We start from the raw sequence: 19,634 nt of genomic DNA, 5'->3' as shown, positions 1-19,634 counted from the left end.
TCACTAGCCCCATGCTGCTGCTGGCTGAGGGTGGGGGATGGGAAGGAGGCCTGAAGGTGGGAGTAAGACCCTCTTGATGCTGGGGGCTCCAGATGCCAGCAGGACCCTGCCCACAATTCTGAGTAGCCAAGGGCACCTGAGCCTACCTGTGTGCTGCCCAGGCCTGCTGCCGGTGCTGGTGAGAGGGACTGGAACCCACCCTTCAGCCTGCGACCCTGACCTGCACCCTCCCCGCCCCATCCCAGGCCAGGGCCTTGAGTGCTTCCAGTGCTACGGTGTCCTGGACCCCAGCCTGTGTCACCCCGTCTCCTATCCCATGCAGGCTCAAAGCTGCCCCTCCTCTGTGGTCACTGGCACTATCGATGGTGAGTCCTGGGTGGGACCCAGCGTCTGTAGGCAGGTGAGGGGTGGGCAGGGCACTCTCTGGCAGCATCCCAGGGGCTCTGCCTTGAGCCCCCTGGCCTGGTGGAAGCTTAGATCTGGGGACAGAGCTCAGGGACCTCCATCTAATGGACTGCAGACTTGGTGTGGGGCCTGGGGCCGCCGCCCGTTCTCTTCTGCTCGCCTCCGCGTCCCCACTGGCTTCAAGGTTCCCTGAAGGGGGCGGTCCTGGGGCGGGTCCGAGGGGGTCGGGTGGGGCCTCCTGTGCCAGACACCCTCCTCTCTTGCCCACAGGGCAGAAGCTCAGCTACACTAGCAAGGGCTGTGGCCCCACTCTGTGCCCAGATTATGAACCTCACCCATCCTGTGGTCCCTGGAGGGTCTTACCCCACAGAAATTGAGGATAGACTGATTGACTCGAAGATTGAGAAGCTGGACATGACCTGCTGTGAAAATAGCCTCCGTAACAAGGCGGCCACAGTGCGGCGTGGCCTCTGGTGCCAGGCTGTCAGGGAGCTCCTGCTCAGCCTGAGCCCCTTCCTCTGGGCTCTGCTGTGAGCCCAGCCCGCCCTGGCACTGCCCCTGGTGGGTAAACAGGAGCTCAGGGTGGTTGCCCAGTGCAGCCCTCAGCTCCTGCCCCGATGCCCCCGCCTGGCCGCCCAGCAGCCCAGAGACCCCCTCACCCAGCATCCTAGCTGCCTGCTGGCTCAGATAGTAAATGCAGGTGTTCGCCCAAGGACTTTGTTCCCTTATTAACCCCTGGGGTCTGGCCTGCGGCCTTCAAGGTGTCCCAGCAAATTCCCCAGGGTGGGGCTCAGAGACTGGAGGGCCTTCCCCCAGGCAGCCCGGCCCTGCACTCATTTCCAGCCAGGATCGGGCTCAGCCCCAGCCCCGAGGTCCAGAAGCAGCCTGGAGGGTCTCGCACTCAGGGCTGGGGACCCCCAGGAAGACTTGCTGGGGGCTGACGGAGGGGTGGAGGCACCGTGGGCCCAGGCCTGCTGTGGCTGCCGGGTTTCCACGACTGTGGACAGCGTGTGAAATGGTCCCGGGCCCACAGGCTGGCGACTCCTGCAAGGCACCGCAGAGGGCGGGGGTGTCAAGGGGGCAGAGGCTGTGGATGGGGGAGGCAGCGCAGCGTCCTGCCTGGGCCTCACTGCAGGAAGTCCCCACAGGGGTTGAGCGGTGGGGGGTGGGTGAGGGGCAGCGCCGGGACGGGCCGCCCATCCTCCAGAGGCTCATCCGCGGGCAGATGCTGGGAAGCGGGGAAGCGGGGAAGTGGGGCTGGATGGGCTGCGGAGAGGAGGGGGCCCAGTTCCGGGCCGGTGTGGAGACTGGGAAATCCCAGGTCCTAGCGGGGTGCGGTGGGCCCTGGGCGGGAGGCTCAGGTCCAGAGCCCCGAAACGAAACGAGGCTCTCTTCCTCTCCCTCCCCCAGGCTTCAGGAAATTGAAACTCAGGCGCTGGGCTCCTCCCCTCTCTGCTCCAGGCCCAGGACACAACCCGGGCTCCCTCCCGCTGCTCCTGGAAACCACCTGTCCTTGGGGGGCCTCCAGCCTCCCGAGGGCGGGGCAGCAGGAACCCGGCGGGACTACCCTACCCACCACCAGCAGGAGGTCAGGGCTGCCTCTGACCTCAGCCCTAAACCCAGAGCAGAGGGAGAGCTGGGCCCCGAGTCCCAGATCCTAGGAGGACAAGCGGCTTCCACTCTGAGCCTGTCTCCCCTGGGGAAACGAGGGGATGACTGCGCCCCCGTCTCAGTGTGGTTGTGAGGCTCAGTAACCAGTCAGCTCACCTGGGAAGTGGAGGAGATGCCAGAGATGGAAGCGCAAGTTAGCTTTAGCAGAAACAAAGCATTTGTTAGAAATTCCATCATCGCCCAGCGCCCACCACGCTTCTGTTTCCCTGCAGTCAGATCCAGGTTCCCGGCCATGGCTTTTGGGTGCAGCTTCCTCTCACCAGCTCCACTATGATCAACTGTCTGTCCCTCCAGCAAAGCCACCTGCGATTCCGAGTGAACAATGCAGTGAACGCACTGCACACCGGGGCCCGAACACCGGGATCTCTGTCCTCCTGGCTACAGTGCCCAGGCTCCTGGACCATCTGGTTTCCACCCTCTGTTCTCTGCTTGCATTTCTCAATGCTAGAGCGACCCACTCAGCGAATCCAAACTCCCGACGGAATCTCAAGCTCAGTCTCTGCAGGCTGCTCTGATGGGCTCCGGGTCCTTGCACAGGGATAGCTGATCCACCGATCAGGCCCCTCCTCCCGCTGACCTCTTCCAGGCCCTCTCGCTCGGTTACAATGGGCCCCTCATGGGTGGCAGTAATGATTCATGTGTTTCAGACAGGAATCACTAGCTCAGGGACCCAGGAGGAGGACACAGGTCTTTGACCTGCCTTGACCTCAGGGACCTGGGAGGACCCGGCTATTCACATCAGCTGCCAGGGGTGGGAATCTCGGGCCTCCACGTTGACCACCGGCCCCTCCTGCTGGACGGTGCCCCTGGGATCCTGACACACACACACCACAGTTTCTGGCCAGCCGGGAAAATTCAGGGTCGGGCCCTAAGTGGCTGAGACCCTGGCCGGCTCCCTCCCACTGTCCCGGAGAAATGAACAAACACACCTCCACTGGGTGTCTGTTCTTGTTTTCTCTCTCCAGCCCAAAGAGCCCTCTGGGCAGCGCACAGCACCCAACTGCAGACACGGCGGCCTGGGCCGGCTTCCTCTGTCAGGAGGCTGCCACCTGTTTGCCAGGGGGAAGCGGGCAGCACTGCAGTCCAGGCACGGATGGGTCAGGGCTGCTGCCCAGAGCTTCTGCGTGGGAGCCCCCTGCCCCTCCCACAGGCCACTCACTACACTCCGGCCCGTCTGTCCTGCCCCAGCCCAGCTTTTGTACCCTCTGCACCAGCGGGTCCAGACAGACACCCTCCATTCCCAAGTCCTACGGCCCTGGGTGCTGCCCCAGCCTGAGCGTGCTCCTTCTTGCACCCGCTTTCTTTCCTCCATGCCCCCCAACACCTCCTTCCGCTGTGGGAGGAGGAACTCACTTGACCTGCTGAACCTGGGGCAGAAGAAAGGGCAGAGCACTGGGGAGGGGCTCCCTCTGAGGTCAGGCAAGCAGCTGGCTGTGGCTCAGGGGACGACTCCTCCTCCCCCACCACCCCCCTGGGCCATACCACAGAAGACCCCAGGACCCTCCAAACCTGGGGTGCTCTGCCTCTCCCCGCAAGGGGCAGCCACACTCAGAGCAGGAAGCTGGGGGACATCTGTATTTATTTGAGGCACCAAAGCAGCAGGAGGGCTCCAATGTGGGGGTGGGCTGGGGCAGGACTGGCTGGATTTGGGGCAGGGCCTAGACCCGGAAGTGGCAGAAACCCCAACCCCCAAAGGCTGCCCTTGAAGTGCATGCAGCTGTGCCAGGGCAGGGGGCTACAGGGACTGAGGCTCTCCAGGCTGCTGGCACACCTCCCTCCCCAAACATGGCCCCCAGAAGCCGCCACGTGCTCTCACGTGCACTGCACACCCACGTACACAGCCAGGCACACATCCCTACTGACACGGTCTCCCTGGGGACCCTGTCAGCATGTCCATGGGACTTGGTCCTGATGTTGGACCGTAAGACTCCAGGGAACCCTCGTCCCTTCCGCGGTCCCCCAAGGAAGGTCACATCATCCACCCCAGAAGTGAGGGCAGCTGGCCCCACTTGGGGCAGAGGCAGGGGCTGGGGCAGGTGGAGGTGCAGGGGGTGGGCCTGACCTGGGACCAAGGGCACAGATCAGGCACGTGAGGAGTCAGGGGCTCCCATACACTGTGGGATCCAGAAAGGGCTGGGCTTTCCTTCCTGAGCTGGGGGATCGGGGGACAGGGTCTGGGCGGTCAGGGGCCAAACCGCAGCAGGGCCGGCAGCAGGCTCAGCAGCAGCCCGGCACCCAGCAGGGTGACGCTTGCCCGCAGCCCGCCATCGGCCGCACTGAAATTGCACAGAAAGCTCTGGCAGCAGCTGATGCCCATGGAAGCCACACCAACATTGACGCCTTCTGGGATGGGGCAGGCCGGGGAACAGGTCTTGCTCAGGCTGTGGCCAAATGTCACGAGATTCCCTGCATGGGAAATGAGGCTGTCAGGGGAGAGACAGACGGCTGCAGACAGACAGCAATGGCCTCTGCTGAGCCCCGGCCCGGGCTAGGGAGATGGCCAGGGGAGGAAGGCACGGTCTGAGGCCTGGCACTCACCAATGCCGGCACTAGCAGACACAGTCACGCAGTAGTTGTCCTGGTCGGAGCAGATGGTCGGCTTCAGGCAGTACAGATTGCTCTTCTGGTTCAAGCAGGAGAAGCACATCAGCGAGCTGGCTGCGGAAGGAGGACACACCTGTCTCAGGGAAGCCTCCAGTGTCCCTCCCAGGCCTGACCCCAGTGGACATTTACTGAGAAATTACTGTATACCAGGCCCTGGGCTGAAGGCAGAGCAAAGACAGTGACACCCCACCCTGGCCGTCGAGCAGGTCAAGCGACACTCAAACACACAGTGAGACAGTGTGGCCAGGCCGGGTGAGCCCTCTGCTGGGAGCGGCCTGGAAGGACCCCTGGGGCGTCTGCTCAGGGGAGAGGGGTGGAGAGGGAGTGGAGCAGGGCACAGCTGGACAAAGGTCTGGGGTCCCCAAGGGCACCTCACCTCGCTCCACACCCAGAAGGGCAGCCAGCAGCACTGGCAAGAAGATCTTCATTCTGGAGAGGATGGCCGTCCTGCCTGGAGGTCACAAACCAAAGCAGCCTGTCCTGCTCTGGAGAGACACACTGGTTAGGGGGCCGGGTGGTGCCTCACTCCTCCCCAAGACCATGCACCCCCACTTTGCAGATGAGGACACAGACAGCAGAGGGGAAGGGACCTGCCAGCACACAAGGACTTCCCTGCTTCTCTCCTGACCCACTCCTCACTCAGTGCAGACATGCTCTAGGCTATCTCCCTCCTGAAACCTGGCAGGAGGGGGCTGCACAGGCAAGAGGAGGAAACTCAGCAGCCTTCTCAGAACCACAGAAAAGAAGGCAGAGTGAGTGGCCTCTGCCAGTGGTCCTGGGGTGGGGGAATGGGGAATGGGGAATGGTGATCAGTCATAATATTAGCTAGTCTGGGGCTGGGTACAGGGGCTCACGCCTGTAATCTCCATGCTATGTGAGGCCAAGGCAGGAGGATCATATGAGGCCAGGGGTTTGAGACCACCCTGGGCAACACAGTGAGACCTCCTGTTTCTACAAAAAATACAAAAATTAGCCGGGCGTGGTACGTGCCTGTGGTCAGCTACTTGGGAGGCTGAGGTGGGAGGATCTCTTGAGCCAGGGAGTTCAAGACTGAAGTGAACTATGATCATGCCACTGCACTGCAGCCTGGGCAACAGAGTGAGACCCTGTCTCAAAAAAAAGAGAAATCTATATACACATCTATATGTGTATCTGTCAGTGTATATTAGCTAATCTGTATCTAGAATTTTCCTTGGGATGGCTCAGTGTTTTGAGCCCAGGCAGCTCCCCTCACATGGAGACCTGGGGCCAGGTGGGGCATGGCTGAGGGGGAAAGCACTCCCCATTCCTGATGTTACTCAGTTCCGAGGAAAGCACCCCACTCAGTATCTGCTACTCCCCATTCTGTGGCTGGGAAATGGGCTCCGAGAGACAAGGCTGCGTGCCACTGGTCCCACCAGCAGGAAAGGGCCAGATGGGTCGCTGTACTGCTCCTCGGCCTCTGCACAGGACCCTCTGCACTGCTGGAGAAAGAATCTGGAACACACCCAGCTGGGGTCGTGATTCTCTGTTTTGTGAGTGCATGGTGTTGGAGGGGGAGGCTGCTGCCTTCTGTCAGGGACAGCCGTGGGCAGAGGAGTGGGAGGGACATCCCGGGCCTGGGGAGCTAGTGCTGGGCACTGGGGGTAAGGAGGATGCCTCAGAGAACAGATCTGGAGAGGGGCCCGCAGAGGCCCTAAGGGGAGAGCAGCAGGCCAGGACAGTGAGACCTGGGCTGACATCCTGGGGTTGGGAGTGGGAGCCCCAGGTGGCCAAAAACAGTGCCAAGTCCGGCTGGGGCCTATCCCCGCCTCCAGGGAGTAGCCCGAGGAGGAAGGATCTCCAATTCCTTTTCCCCCCACCCCCCTAAAGTGAGGTTCTGGTGTGGGGGGGTCCCTGAGCTGTCTCTGAGGAAGTCCTAGCATACAGGGCCACAAACAGGTCCAGCTGGTGCCGCCACCTGCTCACTGGGTGGCACCCAACCCGCTGGGCCACCAGGCTGAGCTAAGGCACCGGTGGGAGCCGAAGGCAATTAGGAAGGCCGGGTGGGCCATGGAGCCCGGAGGGAGCCAGCCGGCAGGCCGTGGGGGGCGCCCCTGGGGCCCAGGCTGCAGGCTCATGGCTCATCCCCAGGCTCAGGGAAGCTGGCCCCTGGGAGCCAGGTATCTAGGGGCTGCCCAGCCAGCAAGGGGCGGGAGCCTCTCCTGTGTCCCGGAACGGGGAGGGGCCCGGCGGTCCACTCAGGGAGGCTGGGCTCCTTGGACCTCACCGCAAGCACCACCAGTGCCAAAACAAGAAGCGGGGGCGGGTTCCAGTGCTCCGGGGTGATATGCCGGGGGCGGTCAATCCTCCCTTTCCGGCCAGGAGCTCTGCAAGGTCCCGTGCCCCCTCCCCTAGTCCTCAAGGCTGTCCCTCCCGGCCCACGTAGAGGAGCCAGGAGCGTCTGGAGTTGGGTGATGGGCTCCAGTGGCTGCGCAGCCCTGGGGCGGCCGGGAGGCTCCTGGCGGCAGTCTCCGCCCGCTCCCGCCCCAGATCTTTGGAAACATTCGGGGAGGCCTGCGGGGGATGGGAGGAGAAGCTCAGCTCTCTGGGGACCAACCCACCGGCAGCCCCAGCCCCTCTCCTGCGCCTCCCCGTGCGCCCCTCTTGCTCTCTCCCACCCTCTCCCGCCCCGGCCCCCGCAGGGCGCCTTCCGCCGCGCGTGGCTGAGCCGGGGCCGCGTGCACCGCAGCCGAGGCCGCCGGGTCTGAGCGCGTGCGCGCAGGTGGCGGGGGCGTCCCGGCCGGGGGCCCGCGGACTCACCGCCGGGCGGACGCAGGTACCAGCAGCCTGGCCGAGCTCCCCGAACCTCGCGCGCTCTGGACCGCGGCTGGCCCGGAGCCTCCCAGGCAGCCGCGCGGCCCCGGGGCGGGGGCAGGGGCGGGACGCGGGAGGGGCCTCCGGCGGGCGGAGTCGGCGAGCCCGCGGTGGGGGTCCCCGCGCCGCCCAGGCCTACCCCGGCTCCTTGGGATAGATGGGGAAGCTGAGGCCCAGAAGGGGGCTGAGACCACCTCCCAGTTTCCCCAGTGAGGTGGCGCCTGAGCCACGGCCAGGCCCGGCCTCCTTCCACCCGGCCCTGCTGTGCGCGCGGCGGGTGCTGACCTGGCGAGGCCGGACAGGGGACCAGGTCGGGGTGACCGTCACTGACACCTGGACAGTCCTCGTTGTGTTCGGGGTGGGAAGCCCACGGGTGAGCAGACGTGTTTGGGTGTGAGCACGGAGGAGGGGTGCCTCGGAGAGTGTCGGGGAGCAGTGTTGGGGGTCTCGCCTGCGGAGTGGAGCTCGGGAGGGGAGGACGCAGGCACCCCCGCAGCCTGGGATTCCTGAGGTCATCTTGTCCCTGCTTCCCGCTCCAGGCTGGGCTGTTCCTTGGCCATCCCTCAGGCGGGGGTGGGGAGACCGGCAAGGGTTGGGAGGTGGGAGGTTGTGGGTGCTGGCTTCTGCGAGGGCACTGAGGCTCTGCCATCGGTGGGTGCCTCTCCTCCCGCCAGGCCCTCTCCGAGGGGCTGTGGGCGCTGGGGCTCTGCCACCGGCCTGTTCTCCAGTTGACAGTGCGTTTCCTTTCTGGGTGACAGGGCGAGCACCAGGGAGGGGTCTTCTGAACCCCACACGGGAGTAGGGGGAGGGTGTGCGGAAATGTGAGGGTGGGCAGGTGGCCATGTGGTCAGGAGGGGGCTGGGGCTGACAGACACCTGTAACACCCCTGTCTCAAATCTAGGGGTGCAGTCAATGTGGCTGTGTGTGTGTTTTGCATGAGTGAGTGTGTGTGGTGCGTGTGTGTGTGTGTATGGAGGCTGAGGCTGGGGCTGTGTGTGTCACGAGATGTCCTGGCCGTGGTATGATGGCATCGTGGGTGGGGCTTCCACAGCTTTGGGGGCGATGGCCCAGCTGTCTCTGGGGACAGGAGCCTCCAGTAGGCTGTGGCCCGGGGGAGTCCCTGCCTCTGGGTCTTACGTGGGGCACAGGCAGGGCATCTTCCCCTCTGGAATGTTGGCGGTGAGGGCAGGGGGTTCTGTCTCTGCAGCCGGCACCTGGGGCCATCCCTGCCATGGCAGGGGCTCAGTAAGAACTGTGGGACGAAAGCACGGGTGGGTTTGCCCCCTTCAAGACAGGACCCTCTGATTCAGAAAACAAGCTGCATTAGGAGGAGGGCTGTTTGGAAAAAACTCTCAAACCATTTATCCTGTCTCTCACTCAACACAGAAGACATCAACACAGGAGACTCCCAAGACTGCTGGGGCCAAATGTGGCAGGTGGACGTCTCCCCGCCACCGAGCAAGCCATCAGTTCTGCAGCGGACACCAGCCGAGTGTCCTCCAACACCATTCCGGTACCTGCAGATAGCGTCAGATCCAGACACCTACACACACACACACACACACACACACACACACATATGCACACACATGAGCTGCGAGGGCCAGCCTCTGGAACTTCTTACCGACTGGCCCGACGTTGAGGTTCCCACTGTTAGAGGAACGCTTGCTCACCAGGCCTCTGGTTTAATGAAACATGACCAGAGTGACTCCATCTTGAAGTGAGTAGGAGGCACTCACAAGGCACCTATAAGGTTAATGCTTATGGTCTAAAAATAGCCATGTCTCAAGCTGGACACCAATTATAATTACAGAATATTTGTGGCCATATGGGGCATCTCCCAGCAAGCCCGCAGACTGTCCAGATAACCCAAGAGTGCAGGCCACTTTACTCAGAGATAATTTCAATGAGCAGCCTGAGGTTGGAGGATGAACGGGCACTGATGGCACCCACAGCCCCTATCCTTAGTGGGTGCATCTGCCCATTCCAGGTGTAATTGTAGCTCCTTACAGTTTCTTGTAAGCAGAGGCACTAACAGAGGACAGGCCCTCCTCCTCCTGCTTTCTGAGCACGCCCCACTCTGGAACGGAGCCATTTCAAATAAACCTGCTTCTCTCACTGTGCTCTGTGGCTCACCCCAAATTACTTCCTGCACAACATCCAAGAACCTGCTCTTGGGGTCTGGATCAGGACCCTCTTTCCCAGCAATACTGCAGCCCCTCCCGGTTTTGCGTTCAATTGATTTGCAAGAGTGGCTCAGGGAACTCAGGGAAACACATTTGCAGTTAATTATAAATGGATACACGCGAGAGGCACAGGGCGCCGTCTCCCGGAAGGGGTGGGGAGCTTCCATGCCGCCCACGTGGCCCCTCCAGGAAACCTCTATGTGCTCAGCATTCCTGCCCCCAGGGCATGGGACTGATCCTCTCTGAATGAGCCTCTTTGGGCCCATGATCAGAAAGGAGAGGGAGTACTGGAGACCTGCCTTGGGGCAGGTGAAAGGGGAGCAGGAGATGTCACAGAGATTCCATTTCTACCCACAACTGTAACAAGGGCCATGGAGTCCTGACCGGGCCGAATGCCAACTCTCCCCCCACACATCTACCTCCTTCTTACGTAGCAGCACTCCTTCTCACACAGCACTCCCTCCTCCTCCTCACACAGGACTCCCTCCCCCCTCACACAGGACTCCCTCCCCCTCACACAGGACTCCCTCCTCCTCCTCACACGGCACTCCCTCCTCCTCACACAGGACTCCCTCCTCCTCCTCACATGGGACTCCTTCCTCCTCACACAGGACTCCCTCCTCCTCACACAGCACTCCCTCCTCCTCACACAGGACTCCCTCCTCCTCCTCACATGGGACTCCTTCCTCCTCACACAGGACTCCCTCCTCCTCCTCACACGGGACTCCCTCCTCCTCACACAGGACTCCCTCCTCCTCACACGGGACTCCCTCCTCCTCACACGGGACTCCCTCCTCCTCACACAGGACTCCCTCCTCCTCACACGGGACTCCCTCCTCCTCACACGGCACTCCCTCCTCCTCACACAGGACTCCCTCCTCCTCCTCACACAGCACTCCCTCCTCCTCACACGGGACTCCCTCCTCCTCACACGGGACTCCCTCCCCCTCACACGGCACTCCCTCCTCCTCACACGGCACTCCCTCCTCCTCACACAGGACTCCCTCCTCCTCACATGGGACTCCCTCCTCCTCACACGGCACTCCCTCCTCCTCACACGGGACTCCCTCCCCCTCACACGGCACTCCCTCCCCCTCACACAGGACTCCCTCCTCCTCACACAGGACTCCCTCCTCCTCACACAGCACTCCCTCCTCCTCACACAGGACTCCCTCCTCCTCCTCACATGGGACTCCTTCCTCCTCACACAGGACTCCCTCCTCCTCCTCACACGGCACTCCCTCCTCCTCACACGGGACTCCCTCCTCCTCACACAGGACTCCCTCCTCCTCACATGGGACTCCCTCCTCCTCACACAGGACTCCCTCCTCCTCCTCACACAGCACTCCCTCCTCCTCACACGGGACTCCCTCCTCCTCACACAGGACTCCCTCCTCCTCACATGGCACTCCCTCCTCCTCACACAGGACTCCCTCCTCCTCCTCACACAGCACTCCCTCCTCCTCACACGGGACTCCCTCCTCCTCACACGGGACTCCCTCCTCCTCACACGGGACTCCCTCCTCCTCACACGGCACTCCCTCCTCCTCACACAGGACTCCCTCCTCCTCCTCACACAGCACTCCCTCCTCCTCACACGGGACTCCCTCCTCCTCACACGGGACTCCCTCCTCCTCACACGGGACTCCCTCCTCCTCACACAGGACTCCCTCCTCCTCCTCACACAGCACTCCCTCCTCCTCACACGGGACTCCCTCCTCCTCACACGGGACTCCCTCCTCCTCACACAGGACTCCCTCCTCCTCCTCACACGGCACTCCCTCCTCCTCACACGGCACTCCCTCCTCCTCCCACACCAGAGCAGAGAGATCATAAGACTGGGACGGGCCTGCTGTCATGCGGAGGCTTTTGTTTTTTTAATTTTTAAAATTTTAAACCAGGCAACCTCCGAACCAGAATAGGTTCAGGGAGACTTCCATGACTAAGAGGCCTTTGGCCCTAGTTGTGGAAGACTTTTGTCCTGGTAGCGTCTCAGATGACGGGAGGAGGCTGCTGGGGCCTGTGGGGAGAAGTCCCACGGGTGAGAGTGAGCAGTGGGCCTCCAGCGAGAGGGCAGAGCCTTGAGCACTTTCCCCTGGCAGGACTGGGTTAGGCGCCTGTGGAGTTTGGGGCACGTTTGCTGCAGGCTGCCTCCCGGCTCTGTCTCGGGTCTGGACTCAGGCGTGCCTGCTGTCAGGAGGGACCTGGTTGAAGGCCTGGCCCAGCAGGCGGTGTCTGGAGCCAGAAAGCCAGATGCTGCTGCCCCATGAAGAATGAGCCGGTGGCCTTACTGCTGGGGCTGGCAGATGAGGCCACCGATGAGCTCTGCCCTGTTTTCTGGGTTCAAGAGGGAAGGAGCCACAGCTGCCCTGTGTGCTCCTAGGACGGGTCAGCCACCTGAGATCTGCCCGTGGCCACAGGCCTCATCCTGCCCTGACCTTTCTCTGGCCACGATTCAGGGGTCCTGTGGGGGAGCGCCTCTGATTCTTGGCCTCCCCCATCCAGCCCCTGCTGCCGCTGCCTGTGTCTCTTGGAAGGCAGGGACTGTGGGGCTGGCCAGGAGGCCTGACGGGGAGTGCAGATGGCAGGACAGGGCAGGCTGGGGCGGGACGGGGCAGGCTGGGCTGGGACCTGCCTGCTGGCTCTGGTGGGAGGTAGGCTGTCTCCCAGCCTTGGCTCAGTGCGGGGAGAGCAGGCTGACTCTCTGGCTGGGCTGCCGTGAGGTGAGCTCGCTGCCTGACCTCCCTGTGTCCAGGCTTCACATTCCAACGTGCAGCTGCCAGTACTCTGCTCTCAGGCTTGGTTCCCGCCTCTCCCAGGGCACAGTCCAAAGTGCTCCCGGGGATTTCAGCATCTGCTCCCACCACTGGGGCCTTAGGCTCTTCCTGTAACTTCCACTGCCACCTTGACCCTGGCTCAACCCTGAAACCGAAGTTGGCTCCAGGCCTCCCTGAGTTGCTGCTTGTCCCTCCTCTTGGGACATCTTCCCCAACCTCAGGGGAGGCCCCTCCCACAGAGTGACTGAGACAGGTCTCAACCAGTTCAGAGGTTCACTTTGCCAAGGTTGAAGCCATGCCCGGGAAAAAGAGGCAGAAAACACAGTAGGGTGTGCAGCCCACTCCTTTTCCAAAGAGGGTTTTGGGGCTTCAATAGTTAAAGAAAGAAGTGGCCGCAGGGGAAGGAGGAAAGGAAAAAAGGGAGGGTCATATTCTTGTGAGGCTGTGATCAGTGTCCACTGCTCTCCAGGTTGCAGGTGAAAGTGGGGGCCAGAGGAACAGTTGATTTGTGTGTGTGTGTGTGTGTTTTTTTTGAGATGGAGCCCCACTCTGTTATCTAGGCTGGAGTGCAGTGGCGCAATCTCAACTCACCGCAACCTCTGCCTCCCGGGTTCAAGCGATTCTCCTGCCTCAGCCTCCTGAGTAGCTGGGATTACAGGCATGCACTACCACCACGCCTGGCTAATTTCTGTATTTTTGTAGAGATGGGGGTTTTGCCATGTTGGCCAGGCTGGTCTCGAATTCCTGACCTCAGGTGATCCACCCGCCTCAGCCTCCCAAAGTGCGGGATTACAGGCGTGAGCCACGAGCCACCGTGCCTGGCTGATTTGTTGTTCGTTTACATTTTCAGGTGAGGGAGGCCACCTGGGGAGACACGTGGCCTTCTATCTTGTAGCTGTCTGTTTAAGAACAAAAGGAAAGGCAGGGGTTTTTTTTGTTTTTGTTTTTGTTTTTTGCATGACTCAGTTTCTAAGCTTAACTTTTTCCTTTGGCATAGTGAGTCTGGGGACCCAAGATCTTATTTTCCTTTCTGTCACCCCCGCTTGGTTTTGGATTCCGTGACAGCTGGACCCGGCTTCTGCGTGGTGAGTGCCTCTGAGTGGAAACACTTGTGGTGGTGTCGTGTGTGTGTTTGAACACGTGGGGGGGATCTCTGAAGGAGTCGCTGACGGAAGTCCAGCAAGCCTCACTCAGAGAAGCCTCCTTATTTGTGTGGTCCCATTTGGTGAGCCCTGAAGGAATTGTTAGTGGAAGCTCAACAGGCCTGACTGGGGGTGTCCGTCCGCTCGTCCATCTGGCCCAAATACCACCCATTGAATTCCCAGTGAGAGGTCATCCCTCCCCACCTTGAGTGCATCAAAGACACCAGGGACCACAGGGGGCAAGTCTGAGCCTTGTGCGGTCAATGTTGGCTGCTGAGCGAGGTGACCTGTGTCTGTTTCCTTGTATTTTGCGACAGCTGGGATGGAAAATGTTAATTTTACCGGTTCCCCATGCAGCTCACTGGGCAGCATCTTGCAAAATCGAGAGGTTTTTTCCCCCTGTGATTCCATGAAGTGGAAAAAGGTGATTTTCCTTTGTGATGTGGCTTCGCCCCCATAGCTGTGGTTGGTGCTGTGAGCAGGGTCACCAGGGCAGCCCAGGGAAAGGGGACCCAAAAAACCTGGCATGCCAGCAACAGGGTAAGAATGTCTTACCGGGCTGGGCGCAGTGGCTCATGCCTGTAATCCCAGCACTTTGGGAAGCCAAGGCGGGCGGATCACCTGAGGTCAGGAGTTCAAGACCAGCCTGGCCAACATGGTAAAACCCCGTCCCTACTAAAAATACAAAAAAAAAAAAAAAATTAGCCAGGTGTGGTGGTGGGCGGCTGTAATCCCAGCTACTTGGGGGATTGAGGCAGGAGAATCACTGGAACCTGGGAGACGGAGGTTGCAGTGAGCTGAGATCACACCATTGCATTCCAGCCTGGGCAATAAGAGTAAAACTCCACCTCAAAAATAATAATAATAATAATAATAATAATAATGCCTTACCAGCCAGGCTTCTGGGCCCTCTCTCTCTGTGCATACTGGTTGAGTGAATGGTAAAAACCACTGTTTATTAATGAGAAGAAGGATTTGTGAGGCTAGTCTGAGCCTGTAGCAAATCTGGAGTACCTTGTGCTATGAATTCGTTTTTCTCTGTTGTTCTGTCATAAAGCGGGGGCACCACAGGATAAACATGAGCTCAGGACCCCTGGAAGCCCACGGCTCAACCTGGTCCGACAGGCTGGTCAGTGACAAACTTTGCTGCGGTTTCCTGGAGCAAAAACTGGAGGAAGTTTCCCTCTTGTCTTGGTTTATGTCCTTGAAAGCGTGACTTTGTGACCATGTGCAGGAATTCTCTCCTGGTCTCCACCATCTGGAGGGCAGGAATTTTCAAGTTCACGTCAGGCGGCTGGTCCAAGAGGACCAGGAGTCAGAAATGAGTTGCCTTGCTCTTCCCCTGAGTGTGTTGAGCCCTCTCAAGAGTTTTGTCTTAAAAGGTCTCGTCCCTACAGGGCTTTTACTGTCTATCGCTTTCTTCTTCTTCTTTTTTTTTTTTTGAGACAGAGTCTCACTCTGTCGCCCAGGCTGGGGTGCAATGGCGCAATCTCAGCTCACTGCAAGCTCTGCCTCCCGGGTTCATGCCATTCTCCTGCCTCAGCCTCCCAAGTAGCTGGGACTACAGGTACCCACCACCACATCCAGCTAATTTTGTTTTTGTATTTTTAGTAGAGACAGGGTTTCACCGTGTTAGCCAGGATGGTCTCGATCTCCTGACCTCATGATCTGCCCGCCTTGGCCTCCCAAAGTGCTGGGATTACAGGTGTGAGCCACCGCGCCTGGCCGCCTATCACTTTCTTAAGCCCATTTCTGAGAGTGAATTCTTGGGGATCACGGAGATGCCTGCTTTACTCCCTTTCTGGAAATACCTTTTGCTAATATGGTAAAAACCTGGAAAATTGCCATCTGGACTTTAGCGGGCTTTTTAGATTGAATTGCTGTTGGAACTGACTCCTGGGAAAGACACCAGCAGCCACCTTGTGCTACAGATCAGCTAGCTAAGGCTCTGGTGGTTCTTCGCAATAGTGGCCTGGGTTCAGTTCCTGGCTTTGGGATTGAGTCCTTCGTGGTCTAATACTTGCTGGACTTTTGCCGCTTATTGATTATTTTCCCCTCTATGGACAGCTTCTGATTTTCTGTCTTGAACTACCTTTGGGGAGATTTTAGACCTTGTAAAAATCACTTATTATCTCTTTGGAGACACTTTGAATATCTGTGGTTAAGTCATCCTCTTTGTTAAGGCTCACTGATTTACCTTTAGTAAAACAATTCAAAAGCCAGAAATATTGGCCCGTTGTCCTGGCTGAAATCTAGTAATAAAAGATTTATTATTATTATTATTATTATTTTTATTTTTGAGATGGAGTTTCACTCCTGCTGCCCAGGCTGGAGTGCAATGGTGTGATCTTGCCTCACTGCAACCTCCGCCTCCTGGGTTCAAGCAATTCTCCTGCCTCAGCCTCCCGAGTAGCTGGGATTACAGGTGCCCGCCACTATGCTTGGCTAATTTTATATTTTTAGTAGAGATGGGGTTTCACCATCTTGGCTAGGTTGGTCTCGAACTCCTGACCTCAGGTGATCCACCCACCTCGGCCTCCCAAAGTGCTAGGATTACAGGCGTGAGCCTCCATGCCCAGCCAGATTTTAAAAGGATTTTTCTTTTGAGAGCTCTATAGTTAGAAATCGACTTCATTAAAGCTGATATTTGGGCTATATTTGTGCAGATATTGTTTTAAAGCCCCTGCTCTCCCTCTAAACACTTCTTAGTCAACGGAATTCTGTCTTGATTCTTCATTTCTGTCTGTCTGTGTATTTAATGTGTCGCTTGTGGTCTTTCTATAAAACAGCTCTAATTGCCGGGCGCGGTGGCTCATGCCTGTAATCCCAGCACTTTGGGAGGCTGAGGTGGGTGGATCACCTGAGGTCGGGAGTTCAAGACCAGCCTGACCAACATGGAGAAACCCTGTCTCTACTAAAAATACAAAATTAGCCGGGCGTGGTGGTGCATGCCTGTAATCCTAGCTACTCAGGAGACTGAGGCAGGGGAATCGCTTGAACCCGGTAGGCTGAGGTTGCGGTGAGCCAAGATCGTGCCATTGCACTCCAGCCTGGGCAACAAGAGTGAAACTCCATCTCAAAAAAAAAAAAAAAAAAAAAAAAAGAGCTCTAATTAACTGAATTAAAGAAAAATAGGCTAAAAGTTGGAAGACAGCCGACAACGTAGCCAGGTGAAACAGCTGCCACCGAGGGGCAGAGACAACTGGCATGTTTCCAACAGATCTTCAGAGGGAAGGCACCAGGAGTGGACTGCGGGACACCCAGAGTGGACTGCAGGAGGACACAGAAGCTAGGCTGAAGCGGGAGGAAGCTGGGAACCCTGCACGGGGCCACTGCGCACTGGGACTCGTTACTGGTCCCCAAGACTCAGGGAGAATGGGTGAGTTGAACTGGCAAGGAGGAGCCCACTGTCATTACGGGCCTCTGGAATCCCGGCAGGAGGAGATTAACCACATGGACATTCGAGGTGGCAGAGAGAGCTGCCTAGAGAAGGTGCGGGGGCAGCAGCCAGCTGAGGCAGAGCCCGGAGGGTTTGGTGCAGGAGCGTCTGTAGTGGAGGGCCATCCCCCAGGCTCAAATTCCTCCCATAGGAGATTTTAGCCCTAGGGGAGCTGTTGTATGTGATCTTTGTGGGGTGGTCTTGCCCATCAGATGGGGCCAGTCTGACCCGAGCATGCCTTGGTCTGCTGGCCTCTCCCAGGGCCCCGGCCTGGCCACGCCTGCTTGCAGGGCAGCTCTGGGTGCCCTGGGGGCCTGCAGCATAGCTTCTGCACTGGCAGACCATGCCTGATTGGTGGAGAGCTCCAGCAGGGCAGCCCCCACATCCCTGTGCCAGCCTGCCCACTGCCTCCCACACTGTAGCTTCTCCAGGGCCCACTGTCACCCCCCATCTTGCTTTTGCCAGTGCATGTCTGTGCAGGTGGGTTTTGCTTTCCTTGCCCGCCAGTGTACCTGTGTGTTTGCACCCTGCCCTGCCATTGCTGTGGCAGGAGTACCGTTTGCCCAACGCCCCCTGCTGACTGCCATTGCAGTTGGAGCCTTGGCAGACACAGAGCCAGCCAGCCCCACCTCCCTTGCACCCCACTCTTGCACCAACACTGTTGCGGGAGTGAAACTAGGCACGGAATAGGGACCACCCTGCCTGTGGGGCACAAAGAATGCCACAGGCCTGGGCCTGCCGGTGCTCCACCTCCATCCCAACACCACCGCCAGCATGGCTGTTGCCAGCAGGGGGCCCTGCCCCCCAGGTGCTTTCGTCTGCCACTGTGGTGAACACCTGCACAGAGGCAGGCACCCCAGCACTTGCTAGCACCCTGCCACAGCCGATGAACGTGCACCCTGTGCTGCTGCCACCACGGCTGCTGGCATGTGCAAGCAAGAATGGATCCCGCTGCCACTGCACTGCAAAATGCACTGGCTGGCACCACCTATCAGAGTGTAGTGACCGGTAGTGAGGAGCACCTTGATCCCTCAGTGCAGTTGATTCCTAACCTCCGGGAGCCAGAGAACAAAGTTGGTGCCTGATACAAGTACCCCAGTTAGAGCACACAGTCTGGGAGTTGGGAACTGAGCCTTGGCCCCCTAAAATCATCCAGAAACAAAGCCAGTCAGCTGAATCCAACTTATACTACAATCAAATCCTCAAGGTCATCAAATAGGATAAAAGAAAAAAAAATCATCCAAAGGTTAGCAACTTCAAAGAGCATAGGAACATCAGCCCAAAAGATAAGAAAGAACCAGTTCAAGAACCCAGACAACACAAGCCAGAGTGCCTTCTTTCCTCCAAATGACTGCCCCACCTCTCCAGCAAGGGTTCTGAACCAGGCTGAGATGGCTGAAATGACAGAAATAGAATTCAGAATATGGATAGGAACCAAGATCATTGAGGTGTAGGGGTATGTGGAAACCCAATCCAAGGATGATAGGAGTCACAATAAAATGATGCAGGAGCTGACAGACAAAATTGCCAGTATAGAAAAGAGCATAACTGACCTGATAGCACCGAAAACCACACTATAAGAATTTCATAATGCAATCAGAAGTATTAATAGCAGAATATACCAAGTGGAGGAAAGAATCTCAGTGCTTGAAGACTAGCTTTCTGAAATAAGACAGTCAGACAAGAATGGAGACAAAAGAACTTTGAAAAGGAATGAACAAAACCTCCAGGAAATATGGGATTCTGTAATCCAAATCTGTGACTCATTGGTGTCCCTGAAAGAGATGGGGAGAGTGTAAGCAACTTGGAAGACAGATTTCAGGATATCATCCATGAAAACTTCCCCAGCCTAGCTAGAGAGGCTGCCATCCAAATCCAGGAAACTCAGAGTAAGATACTCTATGAGAAGATCATCCCCAAGACACATAATCATGAAATTCTTCAAGGTCGAAATGAAAGGAAAAAAGTTAAAGGCAGCCAGAGAGAAAGGCCAGGTCACCTACAAAGGAACACCTATCAGACTAAGAGCAGACCTCTCAGTAGAAACCCTACAAGCCAGAAGAGATTGGGGGCCAATATTCAACATTCCTAAAGAAATTCCAACCCAGAATTTCATATCTGGCCAAACTAAGCTTCATAAGTGAAGGAGAAATAAGATCCTTTTCAGACAAGTAAATGCTGAGGGAATTTGTCACCACCAGACCTGCCTCACAAGAACTCCTGAAGGCAGCACTAAATATGGAAAAGAAAGACTGTTACCAGCCACTACAAAAACATACCAAAGTACACAGACCAGTTGCACTATAAAGCAACCACACAAACAAATCTGCATAATAATCAGCTAACATGATGACAGGAGCAAATCCACATATATCAATACTAACCTTGCATGTAAATGGGCTAAATGCCCCAATTAAAAGGCACAGAGTTGCATGCTGGATAAAGAACCAATACCCATCGGTATGTTGTCTTCAAGAGATCCATTTCACATGCAGTGACATCCATAGGCTCAAATAAAAGGATGGAGAAAAATCTACCAAGCAAATGGAAAACAACAAATCAGGGGTTGCAATCC

The 19,634-nt window shown here is 58.0% G+C and overlaps 1 protein-coding gene and 1 long non-coding RNA gene across 3 annotated transcripts in view, besides 6 other annotated features; one reads left to right on the top strand and one right to left on the bottom strand.

Moving 5' to 3' along the window:
• Nucleotides 493–1,256: an enhancer, noted in NCBI's record as "H3K27ac-H3K4me1 hESC enhancer chr8:144106209-144106972 (GRCh37/hg19 assembly coordinates)". NCBI's record gives its function as "activates a minimal SCP1, AML or CMV promoter by ChIP-STARR-seq in naive H9 embryonic stem cells {active_cell/tissue: H9 hESC(naive)}" and the evidence as "EXISTENCE:reporter gene assay evidence [ECO:0000049][PMID:30033119]".
• Nucleotides 1,257–2,018: an enhancer, noted in NCBI's record as "H3K27ac-H3K4me1 hESC enhancer chr8:144105447-144106208 (GRCh37/hg19 assembly coordinates)". NCBI's record gives its function as "activates a minimal SCP1, AML or CMV promoter by ChIP-STARR-seq in primed H9 embryonic stem cells {active_cell/tissue: H9 hESC(primed)}" and the evidence as "EXISTENCE:reporter gene assay evidence [ECO:0000049][PMID:30033119]".
• Nucleotides 2,019–2,782: an enhancer, noted in NCBI's record as "H3K27ac-H3K4me1 hESC enhancer chr8:144104683-144105446 (GRCh37/hg19 assembly coordinates)". NCBI's record gives its function as "activates a minimal SCP1, AML or CMV promoter by ChIP-STARR-seq in primed H9 embryonic stem cells {active_cell/tissue: H9 hESC(primed)}" and the evidence as "EXISTENCE:reporter gene assay evidence [ECO:0000049][PMID:30033119]".
• On the bottom strand, nucleotides 3,639–7,519 carry LY6E (lymphocyte antigen 6 family member E). Of its 2 annotated transcripts, none has more exons than NM_002346.3 (4): nucleotides 7,462–7,519; nucleotides 5,057–5,165; nucleotides 4,615–4,734; nucleotides 3,639–4,482 (listed from the first exon to the last, which is right to left on the bottom strand). In NM_002346.3, the coding sequence occupies exons 2-4, from the start codon at nucleotides 5,106–5,108 to the stop codon at nucleotides 4,259–4,261; spliced, it is 396 nt and encodes a 131-aa protein (NP_002337.1). In that variant the 5' UTR covers nucleotides 5,109–5,165; nucleotides 7,462–7,519; the 3' UTR covers nucleotides 3,639–4,258. The 2 variants fall into 2 exon arrangements, with proteins under 2 accessions (NP_002337.1, NP_001120685.1); NM_001127213.2 differs by having other exon boundaries at nucleotides 5,057–5,160.
• Nucleotides 7,520–7,657: 138 nt separating this feature from the next.
• Nucleotides 7,658–19,634, top strand: part of LY6E-DT (LY6E divergent transcript) — a 36,360-nt gene continuing 24,383 nt past the window's right edge. Inside the window, exon 1 of the long non-coding RNA NR_026913.1 lies at nucleotides 7,658–7,888. This is a non-coding gene — a long non-coding RNA (LY6E divergent transcript). The remainder of the gene's footprint in view (nucleotides 7,889–19,634) is intronic.
• Nucleotides 16,700–17,512: an enhancer, noted in NCBI's record as "H3K4me1 hESC enhancer chr8:144089953-144090765 (GRCh37/hg19 assembly coordinates)". NCBI's record gives its function as "activates a minimal SCP1, AML or CMV promoter by ChIP-STARR-seq in naive H9 embryonic stem cells {active_cell/tissue: H9 hESC(naive)}" and the evidence as "EXISTENCE:reporter gene assay evidence [ECO:0000049][PMID:30033119]".
• Nucleotides 17,513–18,326: an enhancer, noted in NCBI's record as "H3K4me1 hESC enhancer chr8:144089139-144089952 (GRCh37/hg19 assembly coordinates)". NCBI's record gives its function as "activates a minimal SCP1, AML or CMV promoter by ChIP-STARR-seq in naive H9 embryonic stem cells {active_cell/tissue: H9 hESC(naive)}" and the evidence as "EXISTENCE:reporter gene assay evidence [ECO:0000049][PMID:30033119]".
• Nucleotides 17,568–17,657: a silencer, noted in NCBI's record as "silent region_19609". NCBI's record gives its function as "represses an Ori minimal core promoter by ATAC-STARR-seq in GM12878 lymphoblastoid cells {active_cell/tissue: GM12878}" and the evidence as "EXISTENCE:reporter gene assay evidence [ECO:0000049][PMID:35858748]".

This window comes from Homo sapiens, chromosome 8 (genome assembly GCF_000001405.40).
Source record: "Homo sapiens chromosome 8, GRCh38.p14 Primary Assembly".
Classification (NCBI taxonomy): Eukaryota; Metazoa; Chordata; class Mammalia; order Primates; family Hominidae; genus Homo; species Homo sapiens.
Note: the sequence above shows the minus strand (reverse complement) of the source record. Positions and strands in the feature narration are given on the sequence as shown.

Coding starts and splice junctions, on each gene's coding strand:
- LY6E (NM_002346.3), bottom strand. CDS start 5,108: ATGAAGATCTTCTTGCCAGTGCTGCTGGCTGCCCTTCTGGGTGTGGAG. Junction 4,735..5,056: donor CCTTCTGGGTGTGGAGCGAG/GTGAGGTGCCCT, acceptor CTCCTTCCGCAG/CCAGCTCGCTGATGTGCTTC. Junction 4,483..4,614: donor GTCTGCTAGTGCCGGCATTG/GTGAGTGCCAGG, acceptor TTTCCCATGCAG/GGAATCTCGTGACATTTGGC.